General features: G+C 47.7%; 2 annotated features.

The window, feature by feature from the left end:
- Positions 6,664–6,801: a silencer, noted in NCBI's record as "fragment chr16:29774929-29775066 (GRCh37/hg19 assembly coordinates)". NCBI's record gives its function as "represses an EF-1alpha promoter that drives an FKBP-Casp9 reporter gene in an ReSE screen in phorbol 12-myristate 13-acetate-treated (for megakaryocytic differentiation) K562 erythroleukemia cells {active_cell/tissue: K562(+PMA)}" and the evidence as "EXISTENCE:reporter gene assay evidence [ECO:0000049][PMID:32094911]".
- Positions 8,504–8,798: a silencer, noted in NCBI's record as "tiled region #10200; HepG2 Repressive DNase matched - State 5:Enh, and K562 Repressive DNase unmatched - State 8:EnhW". NCBI's record gives its function as "represses a minimal TATA promoter and a strong SV40 promoter by Sharpr-MPRA in HepG2 and K562 cells {active_cell/tissue: HepG2 | K562}" and the evidence as "EXISTENCE:reporter gene assay evidence [ECO:0000049][PMID:27701403]".

The raw sequence follows: 14,318 nt of genomic DNA on the forward strand, positions 1-14,318 counted from the left end.
ACTTGAATGCCATAAGCAGTAAGTGTTATCTCAACACCAGGGGAAAAGTTAGCAGATTCAAAGCAGGCAGAAAAAAAAAAAGGAGAGAAAGAGAACTTAGAAGTCTCTCCATGCTAACTCTATAGTTGTAGGTTTTATGAATAATGACCATTTGAGCTCTGAATTTTCCTTGATGTAATTTTGCTCATCAGTTTTAAAATGTGCACAAGAATGAGCCATAATATGTAGCTGGTGGAGTCCTAGAAATCCTTGCATTGGCCAGGTGTGGTGGCTTAAGCCTGTAATCCCAGCACTTTGGGAATCCGAGGCGGGTGGATCACCTGAGGTCAGGAGTTCGAGAGTAGCCTGGACAACGTGGCGAAGCCCTGTCTTTACTAAAAATACAAAATTAGCCGGGTGTGGTGGTGCATGCCTGTTATCCCAGCTACTCTGAAGGCTGAGGCAGGAGAATCACTTGAACCTGGGAGGCGGAGGTTGCGGTGAGCCAAGGTGGCACTATTACACTCCAGCCTGGGCAACAAGAGTGAAACTCTGTCTCAAAAAAAAAACCAAAACAACAACAACAACAACAAAAACCAGAAATCCTGGTACGCCTTCATGTTTGAGAATCCCATTCCATTTCTTTATCTTGTTTTTTTTTTTTGAGACAGTGTCTTGCTCTGTCGCCCAGGCTGGAGTGCAGTGGTGCGATCTCGGCCCACTGCAACCTCTGCCTCCAGGATTCAAGTGATTCTTCTACCTCAGCATCACGAGTAGTTGGGATTACAGGTGCCTGCCACCATGCCCAGCTAAATTATTTTTTTTGTTTTGGTATTTTTTAGTAGAGATGGGGTTTCACCATGTTGGCCAGGCTGGTCTCGAGCTCCTGGCCTCATATGATCCACCTGCCTCGGCCTCCCAAAGGGCTGGGATCACAAGTGTGAGCCACCACACCATCCCCATTCCATTTCTTATTCATCACTTGAGAGCAAAGACCACCCTATACATGCTGTAATTTATGGGATATTAGGAGTTTAGTCTGGTGTTTTAGACAGCAGGAACCACCCTAGTGGCTTATGTTAGCCATCCTCCACCCACTGGTTGGAATGTTTATTTTTGCTCTTGGGAGATTTTTAGAAATAAGCAAGAGAAAAGAGTCAAACCAAATCCAAAGAAACCAAGATAAGAGTGTTCACAAAAATTTTAATCCAAACTGGCCATGCAGACCAAAGGTTGCAGTGAGCCGAGATTGCATCATTGCACTCCAGCCTGGGCAAAAACAGTAAAACTCCGTTAAAAAAAAAAAAAAAGAGGGAGGCTCAGCCTGAGAGAAGACTCAGCAGGGCAGAACAGGCCTGTTGTGGAAGCAGAGAGCTCACAGCCTTCAGTGAGTGCTGCATGCCAGTTCTAAGAATCATCGATTCTTGGGAGGCTGAGGCAGGCAGATCACCTGAGGTTAGGAGTTTGAGACCAGCCTGGCCAATGTGGTGAAACCCTGTCTCTACTAAAAACGCAAAAATTAGCTGGACATGGTGGCGGGCGCCTGTAATGCCAGCTACTCAGGAGGCTGAGGTAGGAGAATTGCTTGATCCTGGGAGACGGAGGTGGCAGAGAGCTGAGATCGTACCACTGCACTCCAGCCTGGGTGACAGAGCGAGACTCCATCTCAAAAAAAAAAAAAAAAATCATCAATTCCTTCTAATAGTGATTTTTTCAGGTACCATTTCTATATATAGATATACCATGTATATCTACCTAATAACAGAGGGTCTTTAAAAGAAAATGATGTTTATTTGGGAATAGTGCAATGGGAATACATATGCTATAGCAAACAATGTGTGTATTCAGGGAGGTAAAGGAACAAAGATCAACAACAATGCCAGGCACAGTGGCTCACGCCTGTAATCCCAGCACTTTGGGCGGCTGTGGTGGGAGGATCACTTGAGGCCAGGAGTTTGAGACCAGCCTGGGCAACATAGTGAGACCCCATCTTTAAAAAAAAAAATTTTTTTTTTAAATTACCTGAGTGTGGTGGTGTGCACCTATGGTCCCAGCTACTCAGGAGGCTGAACTAGGAGGATCCCTTCAGCCCAGGAGTTTGAGGCTACAGTGAGCTATAATCATGCCATTGTACTCCAGCCTGGGTGACAACATGAGACCCCAAAAGGAGAAAGAGAGTGAGAGAGGAAGGAAGGAAGGAAGGAAGGAAGGAAGGAAGGAAGGAAGGAAGGAAGGAAGGAAGAAAAGAAAGAAAGAAAGAAAGAAAGAAAGAAAGAAAGGCAGAGAAAGAATATTAGCTGGGCATGGTGGCATGTACCTGTAGTCCCACCTACTCAGGAGGCTGAAATGGGAGGATTGCTTGAGCCCAGGAGTTGAAGACCAGCCTGGACAACATAGCAAGACCCTATCTCTACAATATATACATATTTTTTTTTTTCCTGAGATGGAGTCTTGCTTGCCCAGGCTGGAGTGCAGTGGCATGATCTCGGCTCACTGCAACCTCTGCCTCCCGGGTTTAAGCAATTCTCCTGCCTCAGTCTCCTGAGTAGCTGGGATTACAGGTGTGAGCCACCACGCCCAGCTAATTTTTGTATTTTTAGTAGAGACCGGGTTTCACCATGTTGGCCAGGCTGGTCTCGAACTCCTGACCTCATGATCCCCCTGCCTTGGCCTCCCAAAATGCTGGGATTACAGGCGTGAGCCACCTCACCTGGCCTTTTTTTTTGAGATGGAGTCTCCCTCTGTCCCCAGGCTGGAGTACAGTGGTGCGATCTCAGCTCACTGCAACCTCTGCCTCCTGGGTTCAAGTGATTCTCCTGCCTCAGCCTCCCAAATAGCTGGGATTATAGGCCCCCCCACGACGCCCAGCTAATTTTTGTATTTTTAGTAGAGACGGGGTTTCACCATGTTGTCCAGGATGGTCCTGATGTCTTGACCTCATGATCCACCTGCCTTGGCCTCCCAAAGTGTGAGATTACAAGAGTGAGCCACTGCGCCCAGCCAAAATATTGTTTTAAATTAGCCAGATGTGGTGGCACACACCTATATTCCCAGCTACTTTGGAGGCTGAGGTGGGAGGATCACTTGAGCCTAGGAGTTTGAGGCTGCAGGGAGCTATGATCGCACCAGCGTACTCCAGCCTGGGCAACAGAGAAAGACCCTGTCTCAAAAAAAAAACCAAAATAGTTATGCTCCTTGGAGTTGTGTCCTTGGCACTCTTGGTTCCTGAGTCTATATGGCGGGTTTTTGTTTGTTTGTTTGTTTTTGAGATGGAGTCTCACTCTGTTGCTGAGGCTGGAGTGCAGTGGCTCCGTGTCGGCTCACTGAAACCTCCGTCTCCCGGGTTCAAGCAATTCTCCTGCCTCAGCCTCCCGAGTAGCTGGGATTACAGGCGCCTACCACCACACCCGATTAGTTTTTATATTTTTAGTAGAGATGGGGTTTCACCATGTTAGCCAGGCTGGTCTTGAACTCCTGACCTCAGGTGATCCACCCAACTCAGCCCCCCAAAGTGCTGGGATTACAGGCGTGAGCCACCGCGCCTGGCCTACGTGGTGGTTTTAAAACATGTTTGCAAAATTTTTAACATTCCTCCTATTGAAAATAGTAAGTCTAATTCCCCTCCTCTTGAATATTGGCTGGCCTTAGTGACTGAATCCTCACAAGTAGAATGCATCAGGAGTGTCACACTATGACTTCCAAGGCTAGGTTGAAAATATAAAAGGGGTAAAGCTCTCTTTCCTCTGTCGCTCTATTTCTTTCTCTTTCTCTCTATCCCCACCCTTTTCCCTCTCCTCCCTCTACTCACCTTTGGAACCCAGCCGCTATCGAGCCCAACACACACGCAGGTGCCCTGGTTAAAGTCCTAGCTAGGGTCCCAAGTGACAGCCAGCATCAACTATAACATGTAAAGGAGCCAGTCTTCAGATGATTCCAGCCTCAGCCTTCAGGCCACTCAGCTGGTGCCAAATAGAGTAGGGATGAGCTGTCCCCACAGAGACCTGCCCAGTGCACATTGTGAGAAAGGTAAGTATTGCTCTCTGAGGCCATTAAGTTTGGGGGTGGTTTATGGCATAAAAATTGGTAATTGGAGCACTCGACTTCAAGGGTTCTCACCAGGTGTGTGAGGGTGAGGGTGGCCCTGCGGAGTGAGTGGCCTGTGGGGGCTGGTCATATTTCATCCCTAGGCTCTCCCGACCTGGCTCTGCCAGATTCTTACACGGATGAGGGCCTGGACTGGGGAGGAGGAGGGGGAGTGCAGCAGCAGCAAGGGCATGGAATTGGCTGAGAAATTCCACAGGAGGCCAGGTGCAGTGGCTTACACCTGTAATTCTAGCACTTTGGGAGGCCGAGGCAGGTGGATCTGAGGTCAGGAGTTTGAGACCAGCCTGGCCAACATGGCCAAACCCCGTTTCTACTAAAAATACAAAAATAATTAGGCATGGTGGTGGGTGCCTATAATCCCAGCTACTCGGGAGGCTGAGGCAGGAGAACTGCTTGAACCCGGGGGGCGGAGATTGCAGTAAACCAAGATTGCACCACTGAACTCCAGCCTGGGTGAAAGAGAAACTCTGTCTCATAAAAAAAAAAAAAAAAAAAGAGGCCGGGCGTGGTGGCTCATGTCTGTAATCCCAGCACTTTGGGAGGCCAAGTCGGGTAGATCACTTGAGGTCAGGAGTTCAAGACCAGGCTGGCCAACATGGTGAAACCCCCGTCTCTAATAAAAATACAAAAATTACCCGGATGTGGTGGTGCTGGCCTGTAATCCCAGCTGCTCTGTAGACTGAGGCAGGAGAAGCGCTTGAACCCGGGAGGCGGAGGTTGCAGTGAGCCGAGATAGCGCCACCGCACTCCAGGCCAGCGGACAGAGCCAGACTCTGTCTCAAAAATTAAAAAAAAAAAAACAAAAAGAAACTAGGAAACTGGCAGGAGCTGTCTCCAGGTCCCAAAAGGATAAAGTGAAAAACCCGGCAGGCCAGCAGATGGCCAAAAAAGCCATCCCTAGCTGCCCTCATTGCTCATTAGGGTAAGACACTCTCATCAGCGCCATGACAGTTTACAAATGCCATGGCAATGACCCAGAGACTATTGCCGTTTCCATACAATGACCCAGAAATTACCACCCCTTTCCTAGAAAGTTCTGAATAACTTGCCTCTTGATTTGCATTAACCCACCCCTTAATTTGCATGTGATTGAGAGTGGATATAAATACAGTTGCCACCAACCCACAAGCCTGGTTCTGGCACCCTGCCTATGAGTTAGCCTTGCTCAGCAAGGAGCAGCTCCAGTTCGATAAAAGATTGCTGAAGATTGGCCAGGCGCAGTGTCTCACGCCTGTAATCCCAGCACTTTGGGAGGCCGAGGCGGGCGAATCACAAGGTCAGGGGATCAAGACCATCCTGGCTAACATGGTGAAACTCCATCTCTACTAAAAATACAAAAAAAATTAGCCAGGCAGGGTGGCCGGCGCCTGTAGTCCCAGCTACTCGGGAGGCTGAGGCAGGAGAATGGCGTGAACCCGGGAGGCAGAGCTTGCAGTGAGCCGAGATTGCACCACTGCACTCCAGCCTGGGTGACAGAGCGAGACTCCATCTCAAAAAAAAAAAAAAAAAAAACAGATTGCTGAAGATTTCACCCCTGAATTCTTTTCTGGGCAAAGCCAAGGACCCTCTTGGGCTAAGCCCCGGTTTTAGGGCTTGCTTGCCTGCCCCTGTATTTATTCCAGAAAGTTCTGTTGGACATTGTTGATGGGTAGGACCTTGGGCACTATCCAGAGTGTGGTCTTAGAATCAGCATCATCAAGGCCAGGCGCACTGGCTCGCCTGTAATCACAACACTTTGGGAGGCCGGGTGGATTACCTGAGGTCAGAAGTTCGAGACCAGCCTGGCCAATATGATAAAACCCCGTCTTTATTAAAAATACAAAAAAATTAGCCGGACGTGGTAGCGGGCACCTGTAATCCCAGCCATTTGGGAGGCTAAGGCAGGAGAATCGCTTGAACGTGGGAAACAGAGGTTGCAGTGAGCTGAGATGGCACCATTGCATTCTGGCCTGGGCGGCAAGAGCGAAACTCTGTGTCACACACACGTACACGAAAAAAGGAATCAGCAGCATCAGGATCTCCTACCCCCTGCCCCTGGCAATTACCCATCTGCTTTCTGTCCCTGTGGCTGTATCTATTCTAGACGTTTCACATGAGTGGAATCCTGCCCTGTCATCCTTTGTGCCTGGCTGGGTTCCGGTGGCCTGATGCTTCATGGTTCACCCATGCGACTGCACGGCTCCTTGTCCATGGCATGGATAGACTGCATTTTGTTTATTCATTAGTTGATGGATATGTGGGTTGTTTCCACTTTTTCGCTGTTACAAGTAATCCTGCTATGAAAATTGATGTCCCAGTTTTTGTGTGGACATATATTTTCAGTTTATCTTGGGTATATACCCAGGAGTAGAATGCTGGGTCATATGGTAAATCTATGTTTAACTTTTTGAGGAACTGTGGGTGGCCCAATTTACAACTGCTAAGTTCATCCACTTCTTACTTTCTCCACGGAACTCACACTTACAGCAGTGATAGCTTTCACACCTCCCTCGTCCGCACTGTTAAACACTACCACAAATCAGGCTACTGGGAAAAGCCTGGAGGCCACCAGCCTCCTGCAAGAAAAGCACCAGCAGGCTGGGCACAGTGGCTCACTCAGTGGCTCATCCCAGCACTTTGGGAGGCGGAGGCACGCGGATCACCTGAGGTCAGGGGTTTGACATCAGCCTGGCCAACATGGCAAAACCCTGTCTCTACTAAAAATACAAAAATTAGCCGGGCGGGTGGTGGGCACCTGTAATCCCAGCTACTCAGGAGGCTGAGGCAGGAGAATCGCTTGAACCTGGGAGATGGAGGTTGCAGTGAGCCAAGATCACGTCACTGCACTCCAGCCTGGGTGACAGAGCAAGACTCCCTCTCTCTAAAAAAAAAAGGAAAAAGGAAAAGCACCAACACAGGTGACGCAGGTCCTCTAGGAGACCGTGTCTGGTTCTCTTCCTGCCACACGCATGCCACTCATGCCGCTGAAGCCAAAACACCTCCTCCTATGTGACCAGAATTCTGGGTCATTTTATGATTTCTTTCTTTTTTTAAATTAAAATAAAAAAATTTTTTTAGACACACGATCTCCCTATGTTGCCCAGGCTGGTCTCAAACTCCTGGGCTCAAGCAATCATCCTGCCTCAGCCTCCCAAAGTGCTGGGATTACAGGCTTAAGCCACCAAACTAGACCTTTTTTTGTTTTTATTTTTTAGGGACAAGGTCTTGCCCTGCTACCCAAACCAGAGTGCAGTGGTACGATCTCGGCTCACTGCAGCCAAAACCTCCTAGGCTTAAGTGATCCTTCCACCTCAGCCTCCCAAAGTGCTGGGATTACAGGCGTGAGCCACCACAGTAGACCTCCTTTTTGTTTTATTTTTTAGGGACAAGGTCTTGCTCTGTCACCCAGGCCAGAGTGCAGTGGCATGATCTCAACTCACTGCAGCCTCAACCTCCTAGGCTCAAGTGATCCTCCCACCTCAGCCTCCCAAAGTGCTGGGATTACAGATGTGAGCCACCATGCTTGGCCCCATGAGACATTTAAATCTTCAAGAAGAGGGTCCAGGGCTTCCTGTTGTTCTTCCCATCACCCTCGCCCCTCTGCAGGGGGTCCTAACGCAGCTAACAGTTCCAGCCTTCTTCAGGGGCTTCTTGCTGTCAGCACGGAATAAAGTCAGAGCTGAGCTCAGGAGAGTTCCGTCACTCGCCAAGACTGGCCAGGTCTCTTCTGTCCTTGGCTGTCAAGATTCCAAACTTGAGAAGTGAGAAAAACAATGGGAATGAGTTAGAAAGTTCCCAAGTGCCACCTTTCTGAAGGAATTCCAGGGTGGAACAAGCTGGGTTTTGCAGCCAGTTAGCCCTAAGATTAAATCTGAGCTTCTCTGTTTAATAGCTGTGAGAGTCTTAGCAACTACTTAATTTGGGTGGGTCTGAATTTCTATTTTTCACTAATTCCCAGCGTGAATGGCTGTCAGGGGGGTAATAGTTTATTTATTTATTTTTATTTAATTTAATTAATTAATTTATTTTTGAGACAGTCTCCCTTTGTTGCCCAGGCTGGAGTGCAGTAGTGCAATCTCAGCTCACTACAACCTCCGCCTCCTTGGTTCAAGCGATTCTCCTACCTCAGCCTCCCAAGTAGCTGGAATAACAGGTGTGTGCTACCACGCCCGGCTAACTTTTGTATTTTTAGTAGAGATGGGGTTTCACCATGTTGGCCAGGCTGGTCTCAAACTCCTGACCTCAAGTGATCCGCCTGCCTTGGCCTCCTAAAGTGCTGGGATTACAGGCGTGAGTCATTGCACCCGGCCTGGATAATACTAGTTTAGATAAACCACTTCATAAAGTGGGTATGCAATGCTTTGTTTCCTCTCACCTTGACCCAGCATTGCTTGTCATCTCTGAAAGACCACAAAGAGACCTGCCCCTCCACTTCAGGGACCCACTTGAAACCTGGTCACCATCCAGGCTTGCTCTGCCTTGGCCATCAGGTTCCCTGGGCACCAAGCCTCTCTTTTCTCCCGCTGCACCTGCCAGCCCGTCTGACAGCACTGGATCCTGCACCCTGGAGTCCGTTTGGACTCACCTGCCCTGACCTTACTTGGCTTCCTCTGTGATGTTGACTTTATCGACCGCTTTTGCCAGCCTGGTCTGTCGGCCACACCCTACCCATAAATCTTCTACCTTGGATCTATACAACTGCCTCCCTTTTGTCCTGTCCCCAGGGTAGTGAGCCCTCCAGGGCCTGCAGCCCCAGCTGTCCTGATCCTTTTCTCCTGAAGCAAAGGAAGATGTGTTCATAGTGTACCCACTGCTGATCTTTCTCCTCTGTCCAAACATCTCCAGTCCTGTGCTACTGCCCTGGACATAATCGTTTATTTTGTTTTTTTGTTCTTTTTTTTTTTTTTGACACAGAGTCTCACTCGGTAGCTCAGGCTAGAGTGCAGTGGCATGATCTTGGCTCACTGCAACCTCCACTTCCCGGATTCATGTGATTCTCTTGCCTCAGCCTCCCGAGTAGCTGGAATTACAGGCACGCACCACCTCACCTGGCTAATTTTTGTATTTTTAGTACAGACGGAGTTTCACCATGTTGGCCAGGCTGGTCTCAAACTCCTGACCTTTGGTGATCCACCCACCTTGGCCTCCCAAAGTGCTGGGATTACAGGCATGAGCCACCGTGCCCGGCCTGCCCCGGCCATATTAGATTCTGAGTCTTCTATGTCCCTGACAATTGGCTAAGCACATTTTAATATGTCTTGTATTTTTTTTTTTTTTTGAGCAGAGTCTTGCTCTATTGTCCAGGCTGGAGTGAGTGGTACAGTAGCGGCTCATAGCAACCTCTGCCTCCCGGGTTCAAGCGATTCTCCCTGCCTCAGCCTCCCGAGTAGCTGGGATTACAGGCTCCCGCCACCATGCCCGACTAATTTTTGTATTTTTAGTAGATGCAGGGTTTCACTATGTTGGTCAGGCTAGTCTTGAACTCCTGACCTCAGGTGATTCGCCCGCCTCGGCCTCCCAAAGTGCTGGGATTACAAGTGTGAGCCACCACGCCTGGCCCTAACCTGATGTTTTTATCAGCATCTGTAAGATAAGACTTCAGGAACTGGTAGATTCTGCAGGAGTAACATGGGGTGCCCATAGAGAAGGGGCCCTCTTATGACCACAGCATTTACCATAACCTGTGTAATGGGCATATTCAGTGGGTGAATATTCCTGTCACCACAAACCCAGTTGCACATGACTTGTATACAAAGCATATCAGCTGCTTCACCAGGGGTGCTCCAATTGGCGTTTATAGGGGAAGTTGGGCAGTTCCCTTCTGAGGGTAAACATATGTTTGTTTTTTTTGTTTGTTTTTTTTTTTTTGGAGACAGGGTCTCACATTGTCACCCAAGCTGGAGTACAGTGGTGCGATCACAGCTCACTGCAGCCTCAACTTCCCAGGCTCAAGCGATCTTCCCACCTCAGCCTCCTAAGTAGCTGGGACTACAGGGGCTCACCACCATGCTCAGCTAATTTTTTTATTTCTTGTTGAGATGGGATTTCATCATGTTGCCCAGGCTGGTCTTGAACTCCTAAGCTCAAGTGATCCACCCACCTCAGCCTCCTAAAATGCTAGGATTACAAGCGTGAGCCACTGTACCTGGCCAACACACTTAGCAGTGGCTTTTATCCACTCCACCAGGCTATGAGCATGCTGGCCCTTCATGAATATTCATAGGTCCTCTTATAACCTGTTGAATACGTACACCTTGTCAACCCATTCAGCATAAATTCCTGTCTCATCTTTCTCTCCCTCAAAATGATCTATGCCAGAGGCTACACTTCCCAGCTTGTCAAGATGGCCACCCTACCACCGCAACCCCTGATAGGAAATAATGTCTCCTCTCCAAATTTGTAGATATCTGTGTTTGTTTGTTTGTTTGTTTTTCCTGAGATGGAGTCTCAACTCTGTCCCCCAGACTAGAGTGCAGTGGCAAAATCTTGGCTCACTGCAACCTCCGCCTCCCAGGTGCAAGCCATTCTCCTGCCTCAGCCTCCCGAGTAGCTGGGACTACAGGCATGCGCCACCATGCGCAGCTAATTTTTGTATTTTTGGTAGAGACAGGGTTTCACCATGTTGGCAGGCTGGTCTCAAATTCCTGACCTCAAGTGATCTGCCTGCCTTGGCCTCCTGAAGTGCTGGGATTACAGGCATGAGCCACCATGCCTGGCCAGATCTCCAGATTTTAAGTTGATGCCTTAGAATATCACATTGTCGTATGTTCTAGACAGTGATCACTCTTCTGAGGAGGAAAACTAATAAAGGGAACAAAGGGCAAATAAATTAAACAAAGGTCAAAACCAAAGCATTGCAGTTGCAAAGCAATTCAGTAGGAGATGTGGAAATTGTGAAGCAGAAACTCCAAAGTTAAACAAAGTTACCATGTAAATTACACCACAATAAAAACAAACGAACAAACAAAAAACAGAAAGTTAAAACCAGGAGCTTCAGTTGTCCAAATCAATGGACATAAAATTCTTCTTCCAGTCTTATGATGCATTTGACAAGATCTCCAGTATCTACTCAAGTTAACCCATGAAATATAGCTAATGGTAGATGAGTAAGATAAAGGCTGTCCAGATCTTTATCTGAAAGAGGCCGAAAAGAAAGACCAGAGTATTTCGTGAAAATCTGAAGGGAGAATAAAAATTTCACTTACTACCTACCACGTGCCAGGCCTGTACCAGGGGGTTGAAAAAAATTGGTGGGTCTTATTATCTCCAATTTACAGATGAAAAAACTGAAGCTCCAGGCCGGGCACAGTGGCTCATGCCCTTAATCCCAGCACTTTGGGAGGCCGAGGCAGGTGGTTCACCAGATTAGGAGTTGGAGACCAGCCTGGCCAATATGGTGAAACCTCGTCTCTACTAAAAATACAAAAATTAGCCAGATGTGGTGGCACTTGCCTGTAGTCCCAGCTACTCGGGAGGCTGAGGCAGAAGAATAGCTTGAACCAGGGAGGCGGGGGTTGCAGTAAGCCGAGATCACGCCACTGCCCTCCAGCCTGGGCAACAGAGTGAGACTCCATCTCAAAAAAAAAACAAAAAACAAAAAAAAAACTGAAGCTCAGTGGGTTACATGGTAGGTAAGGGCTGGAGCCAGGTGTTAAACCCATGTATCTGTTAAAATTAAAACTTAAGACAAATTAAATTTAAGAGAGTTTAATTGAGCAAAGAACAATTCACAAATCAGGCAGCTCCCTGAACCAGCATAGGTTCAGAGAAACTCTGGGGCTGCCATATGGTTGGATAATAATTATAGACGGAAAAAGGAAAGTGACATACAGAAAATGGAGATGAGGTACAGAAATAGCCAGATTGGTTAAGGTGTGGCACTTGCCTTATTTGAACATGGTTTGAACAGTTGGCCACTTGTGATGGGCCAAAACTCTGTGGTTGGTATAAGAGAAGGTTATAGTCTATTTACATGTCCAGTTAGGCCACTAGGTGAGGAGAAACCTTTAGGCCTAAATTAAAATATGTAAGGAGGCAGCTTTAGGCTAAACTTAATTTAACAATTCTCTTGGCCATGCGCGGTGGCTCATGCCTGTAATCTCAGCACTTTGGAGGGCCAAGGCAGGCGGATCACCTGAGGTTAGGAGTTCGAGACCAGCCTGGCCAACATAGTGAAACCCCATCTGTACTAAAAATACAAAATTTAGCTGGGTATTGTGGCAGGCGCCTATAATCCCAGCTACTTGGGAGGCTGAGGCACGAGAATGGATTGAACCCAGGAGGTGGAGGTTGCAGTGAGCCAAGATTGTGCCGCTGCACTCCATCCTGGGCGATAGAGCTAAGCTCAGTCTCAAAAACACAAACGAAAACAAAGAAAACCAATTATCTCTTTTTGGCCAACTTTCAATTTTGAGAGATTGATAAAAAGCTTTAGGCATTGATGTCACTCTGTCACCACCGTGAATGGACTTTTTTGGTCTAAAATCCCACTAGGAAACATAGCAGTGGGTTTTGTAAGGTGGGAATAAGGAAATAGAGCAATAAGGAAAAACCTCGTTATTCCAGGTTACTTTTTTGGGATGGGTTGGAGCAGAGGGGAGCTTCTTATTATGCTGGAATTTGTTTTCAGGAGGAAAAACCTGGTCTGTTTTGGGATCTCTCTGCTTTCTTTGAAGTTTGAGTTTGATTATGTAGCATTTAGCATGGGTGACTCCATTTTGGTTTGGTCTTTTGGGGTCTAGTTCAGGAGCTCAGGCCAGAAAAACAGCCTCCCATAACTTTACTTAACATCTCTTTATAACATTCTGTCCACAAATGCTTGGTACGTGGCTATAGGTTTCTGGCTTAAAAAATGATTAACAATGTACCCTTACCTACCCTGAATCTGAGCCCCTGCAGCCTCTCTCATACTACTGTGGCCACCCAAGCTGCCCTGAGGTTTCCCAACCAAGGTGGCTCACATCCGTATTCCCAGCACTTGGGAGGCTGACGTGGGAGGATCACTTGAGCCCAGGAGTTCAAGACCAGCCTGAGCAACACAGTGAGACTTCATCTCTACAAAAAGTAAAAATGCAAAAATTTGCTGGGGGGTGGTCCCAGATTCTTGGGAGGCTGAGGTGGAAGGATCAATAGAGCCCAGGAGGTTGAGGCTACAGTGAGCTGTAATAGTGGCACTGCACTCCAGCCTGAGGTACAGAGTGAGACCCTGTCTCAAAAAAGAAAAAAATAAATAAAAGTGAATAAGAAAGCAAAGAAAACCCAATACAAACCCTGCAAGAAGAGAGACAGAGAGGTGAGGAAAGACAAAGGAGGAACGGTTCATAGAAGTCTCGTTGTAGCCTGGGCCCAAGGTGCTGTATTCATTGGATAACCATCCACGGATGCTTACTCTGTACCAGGTGTGATGCCAGATGCTGGGAATTTGGAGATGACTGAGTCATGGCCCCTGCCTGAGAATGAGCTCTCAGTTTAGTGGAGAAGGCTTACATGTAAACATATAAATTATAGTGCAGGGTAATTAGAACCATAATAGAGTAATGTAGGAAACACACAGAAGCCAAAGAAAGGAATGATGAATTCTATTTGAAGAGGAGGAGCTGGGAGGAGAAGAGAGCTGAGGCCTTCCTGTGAGAAGGGTGGGTGGTGGTGCAGGCTGGTGGTGGTCCCCTCTGAATAACCTGGAGGTTGCCAGGTGGGCAGAAGGAGGAGAGCATTTTAGGCAGCTGGAGTGTGCATGGGCAGAGTTGAAGATTAGCAATTGCAGGTCACTGTGGGCGGAGAGCAGGACTCCCCTTGGCAACCTGGTGAAGTCACTTCTGCCCATTACTTTATTCATTGGAACAACTAAGAGTGAACAGAAAAGCAGCGCTCATGCCGTCAGACCCTTCTTCCAAATGAAAACGTGCACCAAGGCCCAGTGTATAAATAGGAAGCAGATAATGTTTTTTTCTTAACAGGAAACAGATCTCCCACTGTTTGGAAATATATTTTGAAACTTTTTTTTTTTTTTTTTGAGACGGAGTTTCACTCTTGTCACCCAGGCTGGAGTACGATGGCGCGATCTTAGCTCACTGCAAACTCCACCTCCTGGGTTCAAGCGATTCTCCTGCCTCAGCCTCCCAAGTAGCTGGGATTATAGGTGCCTGCCACCATGTCTGGCTAATTTTTGTATTTTTAGTAGAGACAGGGTTTCACCATGTTTGCCAGGCTGGTCTCAAACTCTTGACCTCAGGTGATCTGCCAGCCTCAGCTTCCCA

This window comes from Homo sapiens, chromosome 16 (assembly GCF_000001405.40).
Source record: "Homo sapiens chromosome 16, GRCh38.p14 Primary Assembly".
Taxonomy (NCBI): domain Eukaryota; kingdom Metazoa; phylum Chordata; class Mammalia; order Primates; family Hominidae; genus Homo; species Homo sapiens.